Source organism: Homo sapiens, chromosome 3, assembly GCF_000001405.40.
Source record: "Homo sapiens chromosome 3, GRCh38.p14 Primary Assembly".
NCBI lineage: Eukaryota > Metazoa > Chordata > Mammalia > Primates > Hominidae > Homo > Homo sapiens.
Window position 1 is genome coordinate 169,283,399 of NC_000003.12, and position 22,458 is coordinate 169,305,856.

The following is a 22,458-nucleotide window of genomic DNA, read 5'->3' on the forward strand; positions in this document are numbered from 1 at the left end:
AACAAGACCCCATCTCAAAAAAAAAAGAGATAATTATTTGTATAATAAGAAAAAAATAGCTTGCTTGCCAGGAAAAATAATACATTGCCTCAATTATTTAAACAATAATAAGACAGAATAATACTCATATGATAAAGAATGTACCTCCCAGCTCACTTTCATTTGTGAAGATGAAATTTCTAATTATAGATCTCATCTCCAGAATTTCTGGGTACAATTTTACTGGCATCTCTCTCATATTTAATGGACAATACATCAATTTTACTCTAAGTAGTGAAATTATTTCTGAAATGCATTTACATGTAGGTTCCTTAAAATTATTTACCTTGCCCACAATTCATTGAAAAAGGAAATGGTGATAGAGTTACATAGTTACCTGGCCTCTTAGCTGGCCCCTATCACCATTGCCTTTGTTCAAAATCACCTGTATTTTTTTTCTGGCAAATGGCTTCTACTGATAGTTGGTAATACTAATATTTGTGTCATGTTATCAAAAACATTTCCCAAGACTCATGGTTGCAGTGTTATCAATAATAGATTTATCTGTTACATCAAAGTTTTGGTGTAATAAACTTATCACCATTTCCACTAGTTTTCCCCACACTCACTGTCAGCCTGGACAAAAGGTGCTTTGTAAAGAGTGTCCCATTCGAAATAGTTCCTTCAGGTGCACAGGCCAATTGCTGGTGCCAGGCTTTGTGCCCAGTCTTCTCTGCTGAGTTCAGAGCTCTCCCATCAAGACTCTGCCCAAGGAGAGCCTTCCACACTCCAAGAACCATGCGATAAGGGAAAATGAAGTTTAGGTTACGACACAGGGAACTGCATTTACGATACCGCCTGCTCCCAGATACTGCCATCTGGCATGTATAATTACCTTTCGGAAACCACGGGGTCACATTCTAGCAGCCTCCTTCGTGGTCTTGGGAATCCTGAGCGTTGAGATTAGGATCCCTGATCACTCTGGGCAGGGATGCACTCTAGCCTAAGAAGTCTATTTTTCCCTCAGCTTAATCCTGAGGGTCTCCAAAGTTCCAAACTGGTGGAGGAGAAGGATTTTTCCCAGGAACATTCTCCCCTTTAACAAATAATTAGGCCTCTCTCACAATCTTAAATTTCAAATAGGCCCTGAATCTCCAAGCAATGCTGACATCCTTTTTTTAAAGTATATGAGCGCACACACACACACACACACACAAATGTGTGTGTATATACAAATGTATAGATAAATATCCATATATATATGCTAAGAATGTGCTGCTCACAAAAGTTGTATATGATAGGTCTTATAATTCTCTTGTAAAAAATAAGGACATAGAGGTTCACAAAGCTTAAAGCACTCATCAAAAGTCCCATCACTAGGAGTCAAAGGTGAATGACACAGTGAAATAATAACTACAAAATTCTTAATTTATTATCATATAATTTCTCATGTTAGTGTTGCCATAATTATCACTGAGTTTTACATGTATATAAGACACCAGTACTTCCATGGACATTGCAGTCCTCCTCACCATCTCGGGCAGTGACCCCACCTTTCAGGAAGTGGGAGAGGGGAGGTTGCCCTTCACAACAGGATCCATGGTGTGGCCCCCATGGTGTGAAAGGAGGTTAGTCCCCAGCGGTGACTCTTTCATCACCAGGAGAAATCTGACCTCTCTTTCAGATGTGTGTAAAGTTATAAAAGCCTTAAAAATTTTTTTTAACTTCTTCTTACCGAGTATTGGACTTTGAATTCCTCTCTACCTAACTCCCCAGGGCCCTCAGGAGGCTTCTGGGCCATTATGAAAAGTGTTTGTAGAGCCGTGTCTGTGCCATGGTGGACAGGCAGCACAGACACAGGCTGGACAATAACAGCTGAGCTGCAGACGCTCTGCAGCCCTGCTTCTGTGGCGTTTTGACAGTGCCTTTTCAACACATGAACATTATTTCTCAGAGCCCTAATCCCATGGTCCTTATTAAATTTTCCATGTCCCACAGACCCCACCAGAGCTTTCTGTCCCACCTGAAGAATACTCTGCGCTCCCAGGATAAACAACATTTGATAAGAAGCTGACTTAGAACTACATAGAGTTTCACATTCAAACAAATGGTCAGCTGAATTTGCATGCAATAGCAAGTTGAATCTCCGAACTTCCTTCATATCTGGTATCTTGTAGAATTTCAGCTACAAGTGTGTGACTGCAGTAAACAGAGCCAGCTTGGGGAAAAGGTGAAAGACGCCAAGGAAACCTCCACTCAAACAATATTGTGAAAAATATTCTGATTAGTTAAGATAAGATGTACTCTCATTTTCCTGAGAGTTTTATCTTTATTAGATAGGCTGCACAATCCGTAACAAAGTCTTAGCTGAGCGTTTTGGAGCTGGTTGTTATTTTCAAATAGCATGTGCTATGGTGTTTCCTTGGGGGAATGCATTCCAATTTCTTAATGGGGTGTAATCAGTAACATGTTTGCTTCAGGCCTTATAATGATGATGCTGTTAACTACATTCAACAAAAATCCTTTAAAACAGCTGTTTTCAACCAACTTTCGCTGTGAATGTACTTTTGTGTGTTTAATGTACTTGGCAAGCATTTGAAAAAGCCCTTGCCTACTGTTTTATTTGTTTCCATTTATGAAAACATGCATTCGCTGTGAAAATCAGATGCATTTGTAAAGTTATCAAGGAACCCATAAGAAAATCTACCCTCTCCTTGCCATCATCAGCAATTTCTGAATCATCCACAGTGAAATTCACTTCGAAGAAACTTCTGTGGATTTGTTTAACCATAAAATGATCAGTAGCTCTTCTTGAGGCAAGAACAGAATGAACGTATTTCTTGAACTAAGTTCTCTCAGGTTAAATGAGAGAGGGACCCAGTAGGGCTGCCTGGATGAGGTTCAGAAGCAAAGATTTCCTTCTAGGCAGCTTCCCCCTCTGCTACCTGGGTGATTCATACCCAAGTTGTTGACCAAGCCCTGTTGTCTCTATCACTTATTAGTCTTCCACTCTGAAATGCAAAACTTATCCTCGATGCAGAGCCTGAGTAAGAATAGAATACCTTCCCTTCTTGTAACATTATCCAGCCAGGAAACAGGCAGCATGTACTAATGGTTGGTTTAAGTCTGGTCTTTGTTTTCTGTCTTCCACGGTTGACAACGCTCCCTGCAAGGAATCAGGCCAAAATAAAACTGCCAACCACCATAGTGCATAAAATTGTAAAAGCAGGACAAAAAATTCCTTGCCATTTTTATGTCCACCACTCCCTAGATTAGAAAGGATTGTTGCTATATGATCAACGTATTAGGTTGTGTTGTTATAGGTATTTGTAGGAGTCAGGGTGTACAATTAAAAAACAAACAAGCAAACAGCAACAGACCCACATTACAGACATTTGCCTGCTACCTGGTGAGTCCTCAAAAGGGAGGTAGCCCGGCAATTCCAACGCCCCGAGAAGAACCCAGAAGCTGTTCTTTTCCAATTTGCCTCCCTTATTCTGATCTCATTTCCTCAGTGCTGAACTTATACCTTTATCTGAAATCACTGGGAAGGCAGCTACTTAAACAATAAGAGAAACTAGTGCATTGTTTAATTTGCCTCTTCCATGAGTCCTAAATAATAAATCTCACAACATTCCTTGTACTCGGTGTGATACTGAATGCCAAACCCCAGCTCGGCAGCTGGAGTCCTATTTCCTGGGCCCTCCGAAGATAGAAAATATCACATTTCTATTTCATTCGACCCTTTCTCTCTCTCTGTCATGCTTCGCTGCCTTTACAAGTCACCATTTCACTGTTGCCACAAAGATTACAAGGACCCTAACAGGTAAGGCCTCCAGGAAACACGGATGGAGAGGGCCTGAAAGAAAGGCAGAGGACTGCCAGGCTTATCTGCTCCCTATCTCACCATTGCTTACCACAGGGCCTGTCCACTGACAGCCAAGCTGTCCTGAGGCAACAGCTCAGTAATAAGATACACAACAAATAATGTTTTTTTTGTTTTGCTGGAAAAATATATACTCAGGTAATTAAATTGTTAACATGATGGATGACCTTATTTTATATTTGAATTCAAAGTGACTTTCTGTATCATTCAACTAAAATGGCTTGATGTTATTAAAAAAATAAAAAACAAAGCATAATTCCAGAGAAATGGGAATATAGATTTTTGTTGATTTACTTTAGAAACAAACATGGGTAGTTGTTACTGTGCTGGATTGTAATGTTTACTTGAAATGCATGAAGCTGGTGTTCAAATCCTATATTCATTTTTTTCATTCCTAATTATTTGTACAATTAGGAATTGTATTTTATGGATACAATTGTTGTATCCTTAAAAGTGAGGCCGTAAAAAAATTGTCAATAAATATGCTTTGGTTTATGCAGGAAGAGCAAGAACATATTAGAGATACCTACTGTTCAGAAGGTTCCAGAAGCAGGGCCCTTGTATAGGAGTTTAAAATGTTAATGGACATGCATTCCGCCCACGTTGAATCCCATACGACAATATGTTTTGTGCCCAGGGCATGATTCTGACTAAATCAATAAACCACTCTAAGTCTGATAAAAGTTTTACAAAATATCCAAGACATTTAGAGTAATTGTTAACATCTGCTCATTATTCAACAGTGTAAGCAGGTTTAGAAGCCAGATAAATATATTTATTCATCAGCAGCCAGCATGTCACTGCTACCTCAGTGGTGATATAAAACAGTAAGACATTAGAACTTGCCTTAGTCTTGGGTTCAGAGAATACAAATGAACCATTATGGAAAAAACAGAAAATTCTGCTTTCTCCATGTTTTACACTTGGGGGGTAGGGGGAGAAAGAGGAAAGAGGCAAGTTTTAGTAAAAAAAAAAAAAATCTTGATAATTTACTTTGAACTAAAAACCTGGGGAATAGGCAAGAAAAATAAATATAAGAAGTACAAATCTTAGAGAAGGAATCTGATACAAATCATTGCTACAACATAAAGAGTATCTTTCTTCTTTATTCTCCAAAACACAACTTAATTTTGATTTCTTCTTTCATTTCACAATATAAGAAAGTTATTTCTACACTGGAAGGTTAAAAATGGGCTTTTTGAATATAACATTGAAAAGGTTCTATCAGAATGAAATTAGTTCTTTGAGAATATTTAGCAATTGGCAGTTGATTTGTCCTGAACCAAAACGAGCAGCAGAGCCATCATTTAATAGTAACAAGAAAATACTAATCAAATCACATTCACGCTTATTGGGGTGGGGAGGCATCTGAAGTGGTATTCTATGGGGTTTTGTTGTTGTCTCATGTAATCTGCTGCGTGTGCGTCTGTGTGTGTGTGTTCCAAGTGCCCTTCCAGTAGTCTCAATGACCTCCAGTGATGCTAATAGATCTCAAGTTAGGTGTTCCGTCAGTATTTGAAGCAGAGTTGATAATTAACTTTCAACTACCTGTGTTATCCTCAATCACGATTGTGTAAAATAGATTGCATAAAGTTGCCTCAAGGTTAACTCTTTGGTGAAGGAATAAATCTGACAATATGCCATCAACTTCAACACAGTCCACTAACACCAGACCTTAGAAACTTTATGAACTTTTTTTATGAAAGACAAAAGGATTCCAGAGAAGAGAGCAATAAAAATAAGTCGCTGGTGGACGTCGTTGCATTTATCTGAAGTACAGTTCTATAAACTCACTAGCATGTGCTTGCACAGTGAATATCAGATGGTAGACATTTAATAAAAGTTAGTTGAATTGAATACCTAGAACAATACTATATATCTATATGTGGTACCCAAAACATTCTAAGAAATTAGTTGAAAACAACAGGTTTTTTGTTTCTATGAGGACCAGAAGATTAGCAAGGTAGAGATGAGAAAATTAACACAGAGATGCTATCTAGCTAATTAAAGCTGTAAATGAAACAAGAACCTCCTCGTGGATTGTTCTGCTCACTAACCTGTAATTATATTGTCAATTGCATTAACTTCATTGCCCACTAATAGAGTAAGTTTCAAGGGAGGCAGCCAATGTTGGGATGGTTACTTATTTTTATGTCCTAATTAATCAGTACTGACACCAAACCACATCCTTCCTTCTTGTTCATTATTTAAATGACCCATTTATATGGATGAACCTCTTTGCTTTGTGCATTTCATTAGCACATTAACATGCTTTCAAAACAAAAAGGGTTGTTTCTGCTTCAGCAAATACTTTGAACAAACAGCTACTTGAGCTACCCCTGACAGGCTGTGCAACCCTCATCTCTTACTCGGCATTTGTATTAGGCCAATGGAGAGTTTGACTAAAATCAAATGATTACCACTTGGCTAAAAAAAATTAACTCCTGATGAGTTTTGTAGTGCTCGGGCAGGGGAATAAAGAGGAGGAATTAGAAAATAGAAGCAGGAATTTTAACTTCCCATCTGAGGTTGGAAAACAACTTGTATTTAGCTAGTTATTTCTTTGTGTCTCATATATGGAAACCTGAAAATAAGCTTTGCCACTAAGTGAAGTTAAACCCTGTTGAAGTCATCAGATTGAAGCATAATTTAAAAGTAGCTTGGTGAGCCCACCTCTGGGACATGACTCTCTTCTTGAGAAGGTACCAGGAGGAGTGTTAACTATTTTGGATTGCTGTAGCATTGCCCTTTAATGAAAGGTTCTATGCTTAGACTACACCTTGAGAAGCCGACAACAGTAACCTTAAGTATATCAGCCCCGATACTACCCTAAACAATAGTGTTGGAGAGAATAGATGCTTTAATATGTCCAAATAAAACAAATCATTTCCCAAAAAAAAATCCCTTAGAAAAGACAAAGCATGCTGTATCCAAATGTTAATAAAGTCTCTGTACATTATGGGGCACACTTGAGATATTTTTGGGAAAAACACAGTAACTGGGGGAAAAAAACTACAATCAAGGTTAATTTGTATGTTTAAAGACGTCTTATAATGAAATCATTTTTTAAAAAGTCAACATTATTTAACCCAGATTTATTAGTTATTCCTTTGAGTATGATCTCATAATTGCAAATATTTCATGAATTGCTCTATAATTTTAAAATAACCTTTAAACGTATATAGAAAAAAAGTGACTTTGTAGAGACCATGAATGTGCACCCACAGGATGCATGAAAAAAAATAATAGCTCCAGACCTACATGATTATGTACTTGGACCTGAGATGAGCCTCCCAGTGACAGCCACATACACAGATTTTAAAAATGGCATGTTTCAGATGCTGTGGATGCAAGTAAAGAGCTGTGCTCTTAAAAACTGTTGGGTGACTTAACCAATAAACTCTGATGATGCTGATGGTGTACATTTTAATTTTGAATAGAATTGTACCATAAAAGTGAATAAAGCTGTATTTCTAGATCATAAATACTGAAAATGCTTTGATAATGGCAAAAAATCATTTCTCGAGTTGGGTTGGGTAAAATTAGTTTTCGGTCTATGTTACATGGAGTTCTCTTAAATGGGATCATGGACTGTACTTGGATATGGTGGTGGTTTTCATGTTTCATTCTCATGAAAAAAATTGCAATTTTTAGAATGTAGCAGAACAAACAAAATCATGACTTACACTCCATACTTTCATTTACTTTTGGTGGTTTTCTCACATTTTCAACAGTTACCAGCCACCTGCCTACTACCACTACCACCTTTGTGGCCTGGGAATCTATCTCTGCTGAACTCCACTTATTAAAAGGAAATCCTTCTATATACTTTACCTAAATCTTGCATCCTTCAGTCGAAGCTCATTTCATATTATTCAAACTTTGGTGAACAGTAGTCCAACATCATCCTCCTTATTGGAAAAATCCATTATTTGAAAATAGTCAATAAATCACCCTTTATCCTTCATTTCCCCCACTTGAATAAGCCCAGCTCCCTAGGGCTTTCTCCAAAGTATGCAGCCTCCAACTCACTATCAAGGAAGAACTGAGTTCCTGGGAAAATTAGTCATATATTATAACTAATTGTAACATGACATATTATAGAAGAGTATAATAATTATTAATTTTAAACAGTAAATATAATTGCCCTAAAACTTGGCTTATACTTTCCTCTAAATTCCTCAGGAAATTCTCAAATTTCTCCTTTACCTCAGCCTACTTCAGAAATGCTCAATCCTCTCTGTCAGTGTGGGAGATCAGTTTATATTTAGGAGAAGTGGGCAAATGTCTGGTATGGAACACATCAAAACTAGGAAAATCTGTTCCCTCATAAACTAAGTTAAAATTTCTAAAACTAAAAGACAAGTTAATTAACCCATTGGATATAGTCATTGTTATAGCATCTATTATTGAAAGTGGGCTCTATTTCAAGCCTCAGATGTATAGAACATTCTGAAATGTTTTTCTAGGCAGTGCATACATGCTGATCCAATAAAACTTTCTTTTGCTTTGTTTAGTATGGAGATAGCTACTCTGCATGTTTCACATCAGTATTTGATTCTGTGTCTAAATTTGAGTATCATCTTGAATACTAGGTATTCTCCTCTGTAGAATCTGATCATGTGAATAATACCACAGGGAGCTGCATACTTCAAGCAAAAACTCAAGAGCTGATATTTGTTTCAACAGATTCACATTTTAAAATTTATTGTCTACCATTTGTGTATGAGGCATGAAACATGACCCTTATACTGGACCACAAATGATTATGCAACTAGTTTGGCGTTTTGTATTTTAAAGAGATTGGGGCTCATGCTGGTAATCCCAGCATTTTTTTGGGAGGCCGAGGCAGGTGGATCACTTGAGGTCAGGAGTTTGAGAGCAGCCTGGCCAACATGGTGAAACCCTGTCTCTACTAAAAATTCGAAAATTAGCTGGGCATGGTGGAGTGCATCTGTAATCCCAGCTACTCGGGCCAGAGAATCATTTGAACCCAGGAGGCAGGGTAGCAGTGAGCTGAGATCGCACAACCACACCCCAGCCTGGGTGACAGAGTGAGATGCCATCTCAAAATAAAATAAAATAAAGATAATCATAAACATAAATGAAAAGATTGAACTGATAGATGATGAAGCAAGATCTATTCACTGTGCAAGGATGAAAGGCCCCTACAGAATCCCTTCCTGAAACTCAGGATTGATTGTTTCAACCCTGTGATATTCTGCTTTCTGAACAAGATGCCAGAATTCTACTGTGAGCTCTGTGCAGGCTAATTTAGGAGATGCAAGATATCTGTTATCTCCCAGTGATCTCTCTGAGCCACAAGGTCAGATTCAACTGAATATTAAGGAGGGCCCTGAAAAGGCTCACAGGGCCACTTTGAGAACCATAAGGGTGAAGTGCATGACAGCTGGTTATGGGAAGGGGAGGGTGAATTCTGGTGGTACCATCTCTACCCAGTGACCATTCTTGTCATCAGGGTTTCCTAAATCAGCCTAATAGGAGACTGAAGATCTGAATTCGGGTATTGCAGAATGTTTGCAGCCTCCCAGGGAATGGAAAAAGATCTGGATCAAATTATATTCAATTTAGAGGCATGTGGGGCATTCTAATGATTTCCATTGCCCCTGTGGTCATCTTGGGTGGTGGAGCTCATTAAGGCTCAATCACAAAAATTAGGGCTCAGAGGATGTCAGACCTAAAAAAGGACCCAATGTGGACCACCTAAGCTCAGTGAGATGAAGTGACTTATCCAAGACCTCAGCTCCAGGCCATCTTATAACTAATAATAGGTACCTCCATGACTAGCAAAGGGGTGGCTGACATTTGTCTTTTAAATACCTATCGCAGGAGGAGTCAGCTAGAACAAATCAACAGAGCATGCCGAGAGTCTGAGAGAAAGTTATCTGGCATGAGCAGTGCTAGTTCCAGCCACCATCATGACTCTTGGAATTCCAGAGTAGGTTCCTAACTCACCTTCATGGTTTCACGCTCACCCCACCGTCTATTCACCACACAGCCGTCAGGGTCTTCTCCTGGCTTCCCATCACATTCAGTCCAAACTCCTCACCATGGCCTTTGAGGCCCTTCCTCTCTGACCTCACTGCTCCTCTCTCATTCATTCGCACTAGCCTCGTGTGTTTGGCTTTCTGGTTCTTTGAAACATCAAGTTGGTTTCTTCTTCGGCCGCCTTGGCCTTGCTATTCTCTTAGGCTGAAATGCTTTTTCTGAAGCTAGCCCCATGGCTCACTGTTATTCCTTTCAGGTTTCTGTTCCAGTGTCCCTGCTCAGAGGGGCTACACCTGACCCCTGCTCTAAGTACCAAACCTTCTGTGTGCTACAATTCCCCCTTTACTCTTTATCCCCTTCCTCATCTTCACTTTTCTTGATAGCAGTTATTATTACCAAACATTATATAGTTATTTGTTTCTGTATTTATTCATTTTCTTTGCCCCTACTAAAAAGTCCATGAGGGTATGGAGTTTGTCTAGATTTCAGAATAGTGCCTGGAACATAGTAGGTATTCAGCTTATATTTATTGAATCAATGATTTGATACTTTATGGGATTACCAGCCAGTGTGATCTACAGTGTCTAGCCCCAGTAACAGGTGAGAGTCACTGAAATAACCTGATCACAGTCCTCAGGTGGAGACCTCAGCCTGAGAGGCTCAGGGCTATTTCCAATCATTCTTGCATTTTCTATCATTTTGCCTAATTCTAACATTTCCTCTTTCTAACCTTGCTCTATCATGTCAACTAGAAACTCATTACTGCATGTAGGTTATACACACACACTTCTTAGAACAACTATATGATTTAAGACACCCTAGTGATTTTATTGGTTTATCATTAACTATTTATGGGTTTTTTTTGGTTAGTTGATTAGTGAGTTTTTTTTTAAGTTGTTGTATTTCCATTTAACCTTCCAGGATCTTGGTTTTCTGTAATGTAGAATAGTTATATCACTATACTTGCCTTATCTACATGTCTGTTCAAAGCTTGCATTAGGTTCCGTATTTTAAGATATTTTGAGAGAAAATAATCATTTTAGAAAATAGTTTCTGGGAGAGTTTGCAATTTCTACAGGCAGGTGTTTTCAGGGGAAAGTTAGCCAAACACAGAGAAAAACATTGCTTTTAACTAATGTATTGATCATTTGGGAGGGCACTGGCGTAAGGTCACAAACAAAGTAAAAATGTTAGCCAAGACAAGACTCAAGAGGGGCAGAAGCAGTAGCCTGGTCTCTGCTCAAATGTCCCCATTGTATGGAGCTGGGTAAACAGGCAGCTATGCAGTCTGTTCTGTCCTCTCTCATCACATGGGAGAGAAGCCACTAGAAAAACAAACAAACAACCAAATACAGCTCAAGGCTTATCAGCCTTTAAGTTGATGACCTTATACTCTGGGATCCCAGCCCCAGCTCTAAGGAGCTTATTGGACAATGATGAATCTAAAAATCTGAAGAAGTTCAGTCAATCATTGACTCTCAGGACAATCATACCCTCCTGCCTCAGTCCTTCTTCCAAAATCTCCAGTACGTCCTGACTGTGCCCAAACAGAGCTTGGTCTGCTTGGACAGAGTTCTCAGCAGTTTGGGCTTATATTCATGCTCTTGCCCATGCCTGCTTCACTCACCACATCACATTTGATCCGGATCCACAAGCACCCTCTTTTTCCTCCATTTGCTCTGATAAATGCTTTCTCGGTCTTTCTTCCTGCTCTAGAAGATTATCTTTTCTATTGCTTAGTTTTCTTTATTTAAAAAAAAATGTTTTCTATCTTAATGTTACGTAAAATATGTGCATTATAATTGAGATGGGGATTTTCAAACTGTCTTCCTGAGGTTCCTCAGAGATCATCAGAGGAAAGATATGAGCACAGACCTTTGGCTTTGAACCTCCTGTCCCACTTTCACCATAGGATCTAGGTTGACTTTTATCTATTTTATATATTGGGTTTCTGAGTAAGATATTGTTTAAAGAAAGATTTCCTATTGCTTTTATTTAAAAGGGTTAAAAAAAGTTAAATTACAATAACACGTGACTCGAAGGATTTGCCACCACCTGGTGGCAGCATACCCAAATTTCAATGTACCTAAATTTTTAAAAGGGTTGAGTTGAATCTGCTATTCTAAAATTATAAAGTGGTATCAGAAATGTCTCAGATGATGATGTATAATTATGAAAAAACATTAAAAAGTACAATATCACTTTCAAAATACAATATAGTATTTCAAAGTTGAGATTTTTATAAATGAATTAAATTACTTTATTGTAGGGCATAGTACTTGTAGAAAACATTTCCATTATGCCTTTAAAACAACATTGCAAGAAGGTAAAATAAACTAGTAGCATTCTCTCAAATTCTTTTTATGTTTGAACATCAATGTTACCTACCTATCCTCAAATATCTGGGGAAAACTTCATTTCTTCTTCTTCTCCTTAAAGTCAACATAAATACTCAGTTTCTGGGTAAATTGTACCAGGGACATTGCCCGTGCTGCTCTCTACCTCCACCAAAACAAAACAAAGCAAAGACACCTTTTCACAGAACTTTAGAAATGACTGCACAAAGAGAATAAAAAACAAGTATTACAATCACAAGTATATTCATGGACAAGTGGAGGAAGAAAGTGAGGTTTTGTTTGATGGTTTGTTTGCTTGTTTGTTTTCCTTTTTCAGGCCTTTCAGCTCTCATACAACAGTAACATATTGGTTGAACCAACTGACCTTGCTCTGGCCTGATTCAACCATAGTCTGTTCAGATAGAACACCTTTAGCACTCAAGAATAGGTTCCAGTAACTTAAACACCTGATGAGTGAAAAGGGAAATGAAACCTGAGCCTCACCATTCTCAAGTCACTTTTTTGACCAGACCCACATAGATGCCTCCCCAGCAGTCTGTAGTGGCCCTTGCTTTCCCCCTCCAGCTATGGGACTCCTAAGTCATTGCCCTCTTACTCACAACAATGATCTTAGGTTAAGTTTTCAGGCAGGACATGAGAAAATCAGCAGGACAGACAAGTGGCATCCTATAACACTCCCAGATCTGTGAGAACAGAGTGAGTGGGAGTGAGAAGAGCAAGAACGCCAAAGAAATATTCTTGGCGGCAGGCTGGTGGACGCAGAAGGAAGGTTTAGTTATGGTCCCTCAACAGCTGCAATAAACTTGCTCTGTAAGAAGCCATGATTATGTTGTATTGTGGATTTGCCAGCAAGATTACATCCACACAAGTTCTTTGTAGACCATCAGTAAACTCAGGGCATTCTGAGCAAATAGGAATTAGCTACATGGGCAGAGTTTTCAACTGAAATCCACGCCTAGTTCCCCTAAAGATTGTTTACCAGCTTTTCCCAGAGCCAGTTACAAGGAGCATAACATGACTTGATTCACAAAGAAGTAATGGAATTATAGTAATAAAGGAGTGAGGAAAATAAATAACAGGAATAGACTTGGCACTTTTGAAACTTAAAGGTGTTTTGCCTGAGATGAACCTGAGAACTGACCTACAATGCTTCTCATACTCGTAAACATGGTGCAAAGTTTGTTTTAATCATACAGAATATGTCACCATTAATTCTTTAAGCATGCAAAGAGCATATCATAGCAAATATTAGACACCCCAGAGGTGTAAACTATAGCTTAGAAAAACAAAACTCATTGGTGGCTATTACTTTGCAATTGTTAGATGTCACCATTGTCATTTCATGTTATAGATCTGTGTCACAACAACATCTGTACAAAACCAAACACCACCAGCTGTGCTCTTTCAACAATTTGGAGCAATAATTAAATTGTCTTTAGTAATACACCTGCACTGCAGATAGACAAAGCCAGTCCCATAAAATTTTACATGCTTATTTAAATTCTTCAGAAAGTTTCAATGAAGGATCCAAACAAACCAAAAATGCTAAAGTATGTCAAAATTGCCATGTGAGAAAACAAGTACACTGATACAAATTAATTAGCCTTCCTCCTTTGGTTATAATCTAACAGGCTACATCATACTTGCTGCCTTAGCTCCTGGGCTATTATTGCCTATCTGAGATCACTTTTGATACTCCTGAGGTAAAGGAACACCAAACAGTAGTCATTTATCTGACAAAAGACCTTGTGTTTTTCTTATTCTATCAATCATTAAACAAGTAATGTCTTTTTATGTTATTGCTTTGACATTCATTAACACTCACGTCAGAGGAAATCTTTGCAATTAAAAATTCTATTGACCATGTAAGGTTGTTTTGCCTGGGTTTGTTACAACTGATTTTTTTTTTTTAACAGAAGCAACAGCACTGAGGCAGGTCAGGAACCTACCACACAGTTCAGCTTGAGGTATCTCTTCTGACTCAAATGCTGCTGGTAATTATTAAAAAAATATTATTTTAAAAAAAATCATTTTTTCTATCTCAATGTAAACGTCAATGATAATCTTGACTGATCAGCTTAGCTTAAGAGGAAAGAATACCTCAGAAAGACAAAAGTCAGAGAGCCACAAGACTCTTGTGTTGTTATTAAATTCTTCCTCATGGCAAATGTGCAAACTTTCAGGAGAGTTTCAAGTAATAATCTGAAAAGTGTGCTAAAATCTCAAATGTTTGAAATAAGTTTTACATAAGGTCCTTGTGATTTGATACCATAAACAGAAACAGAGTAGGAGAAGTGCCTAACATGACAAAAGGAGAATTTTGAATATACCATAGAGTAACTTGTTCACTTCCAAACCACTCCTTTTGTGGGAACATCACCATAAAAACTGATTATACATCATCCACGGCAATATTATCATCCAGCATCGGGAGAAATAAACCTGAACAAACACATTTCTTTTTAATAAAGAGCAATTTAGAGGGTGGGAGAAGAACCAATTTCCTTCTTGGAAAAATCTCTGTGTTATAAAAATGTCTTTTATTTACGGAGTGGATTAGCTTTATGGTATCTGTATTTATATGCCTTCTACTTTACAAAGAATAAAACAGAATGGAAATCGATATAAAAATACTTCTTAATATACACCATATTAAATGTTATCAATATGAAGACACATATGGTTCTCTCTTTACATACAAAGATACATATGTATTAAATGTTATATATTAAATGAGATATGTATATTAAATGTTATCAATATGAAGATGCAGAGAGAAATGTGTCTTTATATTGATAACATTTCATATATAATATAATATAAACCATATTTTGACATCTATTAATATTTCCATCTATTTATATATACATATCTCCTTATACTATAATTCTAGTATTTAATTAAATTATATTAGTATTTAATTCAAATCAAAGATTGAATTTGGCCCTAGGGTACTGTAATGATTTGAAGATACTTAGAATAGAATGTGTCACATGGATTCCATCTCCATTCTAAGAATCAAATTCAATCACAAGAAGACTTGGGACATGAAATAATCTGAATTTATTTATTCATTCAACAAACTCTTAGTAAAGACACCAGTTTAGAGACATTGCAGCTGCACTGAGGAGGAAACACTACACTCCCCTGTACGCACGGGGAAGTGATTTTACCTGCAGGATGACCGAATGTGTGGTTTCAGGAAGTGAACTATAATGGGGTTTTAATGTCCTTTGGGTCCTGCCTCAGCATTGTTCATTTTCAGTAAATGAAAGCAATACAAGCTTTGCAAAGGGATTTCGAACTATAATAGGGGAAACTTAGAAACGAATCCAGATACCACCATGGATATAAGATTCTGGGAACTACTTATCTTGGAGAGATCTTTAATCTGAAATCACTGCAAGTTTCATGAATATTTAAGGAGCAAAGACTCAGAGAAGACAGTTAAAGGGAAAATTGCTGTTGGCTGATTTTTAACAAATAGATCCTTCCTAGAACTCCTAGTTCTCACTAGGAATTGCCTCAGAGACAATTTCCACCTATAGTCATTACTCAAGGATTAGAGCCCAAGACACCACACTCAGGAGGCCCGTTTATTGCAGACAGATGGTTCAAAAAGCAGCTCTCCCAGCATGAAGACTGTAAACCCGCCGCCCAAACCGAGGCCAAGAGGAGGGGCTGGGTTCCCCACCCAGTGCACACCCACGCCAGAGCTCCTCAAGATTTTCCTTCCCGCCCAGGCTGTGGTTGCTCTTCCTTCCTCACCTGATTCTACCAGGATCAAAATGTTCTTGGAATAAAATTAAGTAAAGATTAGGCCTGGAGTATAAGATTAGGTCACCCGATTTGGGTTTGAGTCGCCATTGTATCATTTACTAACAGCTTTTCCTTCAGCAAATCACTCAAGACCTTTCAAAGTAAAGTTCACCCCAGTCAGACCAGACAGACCCCATCTCAAAGTCCCCTGAACCCGGAATCTGATCTACAGAGCTCTTTTCTACTGAACTTCATGAATCACAGCCCCATTCCATATGCATAATTCCATATATATCAGCACACTGCTCAGCCACTATGGAATTTTAATGACCACATTTTCATTCAAACTGTGTATTCACTAGAATAGCTAAACATTTTTTCTGGTTAATGTACCTCAAGTTCTGATGCTATTTGGTCTCCTGCTCTTTGCCCCACAAAGAAATCAAATATAAAAATAAACAAATTGCATAATTTTTTTTACAAATAGGCTGGAGAGAGCCTTCACTATGAATGTGGATAAGTATTGATGTCACAAAGCTCTTGATTCTTGATTCCTTCCATATCATTTCACTTTCCTTTCCCCTCCACTCCCTCACATGTCTGAGACAGCCACGAGTCCCTCATAGAAACCTTGCAAAACTTAAGGGACTCATTGTTTGTGCTGTGCTTCAGAGGTGAGCCTAACTGAGTGCACTCTGATAATGTTTTTCAACAATTTCATGGATTGTTTCAGATTTATGTCAGCCTAAGATTATTATCTCTTGGCCCTCAGCCTATTGCCATGAAGTCATAACCTTTGTTTAAGAGCAGCCTAGCCCACTGTCATAATTACAGATTTGACTCTGTTAATAAAGAGAATGCAAGCCACTAAAGATTGAATTTCTGCTCTCACAGTAAGAAAATGAATGATATTTTATAGTAAATAATCATAATTTACATACTAAGAAGAAACCTTAGAATCTTAGATGATAGCCTCTCTTATAAATCATTCAAATAGAAAACATTTATAAAATGATCTTGCGGCGTTTATCAAATACCTATGGTTATACTATCTCACAACATTTTAGTTAACCCAGTTGACTCAAAACAGTTATAATTGTTCAAATGTTCTATACCCTCTTAAAGTTTTAGACTCATAGTCTTAATTTCACACCTGCTGATGTAAAAACAATGAACAAGTCTAATCATGGTAGCACATGACAGCCCTTCAGATATTTGAAGCTAGTCCTCATGTACCTTCTAAGTGTTCTCTTCTAAAATATCCTTAGGTCCTTCCATTTATTGACATGATCTCACTTCTTGCTATCTTTGTGCCCTTTCTTTGGAAGCTTTCTAGTTCATGAATCTCTCTCTCAAAACATAGTGTCCCCAAACAAAGACGATAACCCAAACGGGTTCCAACCAGAGGAGAGTACAACAGAGCTAACCATTACCCCATTAAATCAGGTCACTGTACTTCTATACTGGAGCCTGGGGTTCTATTAGCTTTTATAGCCACTCCAACACCTTGTTGGGTTATATTATGATTTGTCAAGGCTTCGCTCAATAAGTGGCCCTAAACTAAGACATGAACTTTTAGTTCTGTTTCTCGTGCTGTCACTAGTTACTGAATTAACTTGAAGCAATCTTTCTTAGCTCTGTTTCTATATTGTGGGTTCAGTATTTAAACCTTAGCCACAGCTCTCTTTTAACATGTTAGTTGGCTAATGTGGAATTAATTAAATATCGGCGCGATTCTGTTAGATAATAACATATCTCATCATCATTCTACACAATGTTATGATTATTCTCTGAAAGTGAAACAGCTGCACAAGGTGAGTGTCTGACTAGATTATGTCTAACCTGAACAGACTTTATTCCTCCAATCAAAACATTTTCCTCTCCTTCTTAAAGTTGACAAAGTGATTATAGAAATACAGAGATCTGAATAGAAGGAAAATGTATGATTCATATCATGTGAAGCAAGATGCCACCCAATCCACTCTAGGGAAAGTTGGGAGAAAATATGTCTTTTATTTTTTCTATCATAATGCAGAAAATAAGCACTAGCAGTGTTGATAGCCTATGGCTTTTCACTTAGAATCAACAATAGTGGCATGTCCTATGATTTTACTTTTTCAACACCATCCCCAAACAAAGCAATGAAATGTAAGATGATGTGAATGAGACCCTGAAATTTAAGGAGGCAGAATAATGGTTTGCAGGTGTGAACATTATTCATATTTTAAACTAAATTAAAATTTTCCCCATTACTCTAGGAAAATCAAATAATGTAATTACCAAGAGGTAAGATGCTTCTGATATGTAAAAGATATGCTAATTTTGATGACAGTTTTCAGTCATGTTAATCAAGTAAAGTATATTTATAGGATTTATATTACTGAGAATAATACCAAGGTGAAACTTACAAACTAATCCTTCATTTATAGCCTATTCTGTAAAATTTATAAACCCCAAATACAGGATCCTTTTATGTCCATTTCCTTCAAGTATAAATCAATATGATGGGGGCAACACAAAGGAGGGGGGCTTAGCACTGACATCAGTGCAGCTTGTTTAAATACCCAGATGATGTTTAGAAGACTGTACTTATTCTAGGAGATGTCAAAGAGGGGTTTTTAGTGAATATATGCCTCCTAAATGTCAATGATTGCTTTAAAATGTTCCCTCTAGGTTATCAAATATGAAGAGAGTTCCACTACCTTGCCTTTTTAAACACAATTGGGGCCCGACAGGACTAGACACTCCAGCAATAGCTGAACTTGAATATATACAATCTGTATCTGTGGCTTCAAGACAAGTAGAGAAAAGGAAGACACATGTCCATGTATCAAGTCCTGTTAGAAATGTAGCACAGTCTTAGACAATAGAAGAGAATCAGTGATTCAAGGTAGAGCTTGGACACAGTGCCAATGCTCCAGGGCAGGCAGAGGGACCAGGAATGCCGTGGGGTGGCACAACACCTCCTGCTGTGAAAATGGCAGAGTTTGTTTCCCATGGCCCAGTCTGTGTGCCTCAGGGTTTTGTTGTTGCTGTTGGTTTTTCTCTAAAATAAAAAGAAATCTGGTGAATTCAAACAATTATTACATTATAATTATCGCCTGGTTAATATTGATTGAAAGAATGAATAGAATGAATATTTTTTGAACCAGGGAAAAACTATGAACAAATATAAATTTTAAAAGTGTAATATTTGCCAGGTGTGGTGGATCATGCCTGTAATCCCAGCACTTTGGGAGGCCGAGGCCGGTGGATCACTGAGGTCATGAGTTCAAGACCAGCCTGGCCAACATGAGCAAACCCCATCTCTACTAAAAATACAAAAATTAGCTGGGTGTGGTGGCAGGCACCTGTAATCCCAGCTACTCAGGAGGCTGAGGCAGGAGAATCAGTTGAACCCAGGAGACAGAGATTGCAATGAGCCGAGATTGTACCACTGCACTCCAGCCTGGGCAATAGAGGGAGACTCTGTCTCAAAAAAAAAAAGCGTAACATTTTAGAAACAAACTAGATTTTACTAAACCAGATAAAAGATTAACAACAAAGAAAAATTTGAACAGAGCCAAAACCTAAACACACTGAGGAGTCCTCTTTCAGATTATTTTCACATCTTTAATATTTATTTGAAGAGAGATGACATATACTCAACTACTCTTACATTATTTCTTTCTAAGACAATGATCACCCAAAAAGGTCACATGAAAAACACCACCAATAAATTTATGTCACCGATCAAGAGAATTCTTTGGATTTTCACTAAAAGAAACCATTTTACATATTTTCTACAAATTCCAAGCCAATTGTCTGTAACATCATCAAAAGTCTAACTTCCCCCTTCCCACAAAACAAGAAAGTTCCTTGCCATTCTTTCCTCTCCATGTAATGACACACATTGATGGCATTTTCAGAAAATTTCACTCATGGAATTCATGGCTAACCCAACTTGAAACAGATATATATATATATATCACACTACTATTCATTCATTTATTCAATATATGTTTACTAAATGCCAACTCTGTGCCTGACCTAAAGATTCATAAAACAGTGGAGGTGGAAGACATGTTAGAAGTCATTCATAACAGACGTTGCAATATCTGGGACCTTAAGCGGTAGTGTAAAGATGTGAACACTCAAGTGTAAGATAACAGGGAGTGGTGAAATCCATGTGAAACAAACCACACAGTCCACTTAAGGCATTCAAACTCAATTTCTTTCTCTTCTGAAAACTGTATCAACCAGAAGCAGCCCCAAAGTTGTGAGTATCCAATCCTGATTTTGTCTAACCCTTTATTTTTTCAAATACTCAAAAAGCCAAATCCTGTTTCCAATACCATAAATCCAGTGAATTGGAAGCTTTATGCACCTCTCTGCCATTTTCCCTCACTGTCTCAAATCACTAAATGACTTTGTTTATTGGTTTGGTTTTTAGTTTATCTTCTTTCCTTTGGCTATATTGGCCTAATGCCAAATAAACAGTTCCTTCTCAGGAAGAAAAGGATGAGCTTCTAAACAATGAGATCAGACACTGCTGGTTATCAGAGAGGGTCATGAGAACTCCTGTGAATAGCTGCAAGAAATGTGGTTGCTTTCAAAAAATATGAATTTTAAGTCCAAGTGACTACAAAGCAATGAAGCTGCTTTTGTGTTTGCTCAAGGGAAGCAATTTCATCACCCCTCATGCATGAGAGATGGGTTCTGGAGGAATTTTCCAATCTTCTCACTTCCAATGAATCAATTGAATCAAATTATCAGTATAGTTTTGGGCTCAGAAAATACTTTTAATAGTTAATCCAGCTGTGCATGTAATGACAGCCTTGATATTTTAAAATAAATGTCAAAGTGAAGCTATTTCCACGCACTTCTATACATCATCTGTTCAGCTGGTGAATTAATATAAAAAATTAATTTTAGTGTTGACTTACTTTGTATTTTGTTCCCATGAGAATAATTCAGCCAAATCAATACACCTAAAAGTTTTTTATGTATCCTCAGTTCCTGTTCTTTCAACCTTATTGACCTCTGGTTGGAGCCAATTGACAAGTAATAAAATGTATAAAAATATAAATTTAATTTAAAGGATCTAATGTGAATGGTGATGAAACACACCATTCTTGGACCCTAGGCCACATTTATAAGCTGCTGGACCATTCAGAAGTTGAAGTGCTTTCCTTATATTTTAAAAATAAGTATTACTGAGCTACACAGAAGATAAAATGGCAGTCTAGCTAAAGCAACATTAAATAGAATATTTCCTATCACCTCAATCAATAACCTGAAAATTCCGACAACTTTGAAAACATTGTTACCATAGTATTAAGAACAAAATAATTAAGAAAGCCTTTCATTAGTTTGCTGATTATAAATATAACTTTGGTGTACTTTTTTCCTGTTCCTATATCTTTTTAACTTCCTCTGTTTTGTCTCTTAAAATGCCATCTTAGAGTTAGTTTTTATAATTAGATATCTCTCTTTCCACTCAATTTCTCTCCTGAAGCTTGTGCTGAGTCCCTCCTACGTGCAAGGCACTGTGCTAGGGTTCCTGGCTCATAGCTGATACTCAAAAAACATTTGTAACGATAAGATCTTTGAAAGGGTAGCTTAAGATTTCTTTATTCTTTCACCAGTAAATTTACACTACTGTGAAAGGCAAGACATTTCTAATCAGAATAAATGAGGTTAGATACAATAGGTACTGATAGGACTCAATAAATATTAATAGAATTAGTGAAGGCTCTTTTGAAAATTAAACCCCCTGAAAACCGCATTTTTATAGGTTTATTTATTGTGGTAGTTACAGTACACTCTGAGAAGGAGCTACTTAATTCATAATATAATCATATTCAGTGAAGTTAATTAATTCCAGATTTTATTATGTTACTTGAGCTCACTGAGTGCTTTAATCTCATGATATAAGGAGGTGGAAAAGGTAGGTGTAACAAGTCATCACAGAAGCCAAGGAGAATGATAATGTGCATCTCAATTACGAGACAAGGACTAATAAATGATTGCCTAATTGTGGGGGCTGGAAAAAAAATCCCAACACAAGGAAGCCCAAAGCACTTTAGAAATCAGACCAGATATCTAAGTTCCAAAGTAGCAGAAAAAAAGAACAAACATGGAGGGCGGCAGGCAGAGAGTGCCTTGCCAGTAACCAGGGCTTCCAAGATAATGGTAAACTTATGCAAGAAATAAACCTGTCTTACAATGGACACGTTGACTGTCAGCACCAAGGCCCAGCCCACTGGAAATCAGAGTTGCTGAAATATATGATTAGTGTTCTGTTTCATGCTCACTTTCATGCCACACCTTTCAGTGGAGGTCATCTTTCAAGTCATTAAATAATCTAAGAGTGATATGTACACAGAAGAGTTTGTTCCTTATCTTTTGTATGTCACACCTGGTGCTTTCCATGGACTCTTTGTTCTAGCTTTAACAAAGTTGTGTAAAGGTTTTTTTTTTTCCCCT

The 22,458-nt window shown here is 37.5% G+C and overlaps 1 protein-coding gene across 6 annotated transcripts in view; it reads right to left on the bottom strand.

Moving 5' to 3' along the window:
• Window positions 1–22,458, bottom strand: part of MECOM (MDS1 and EVI1 complex locus) — a 580,206-nt gene that overhangs the window by 199,892 nt on the left and 357,856 nt on the right. The gene's annotated exons all lie outside the window — the stretch shown is intronic.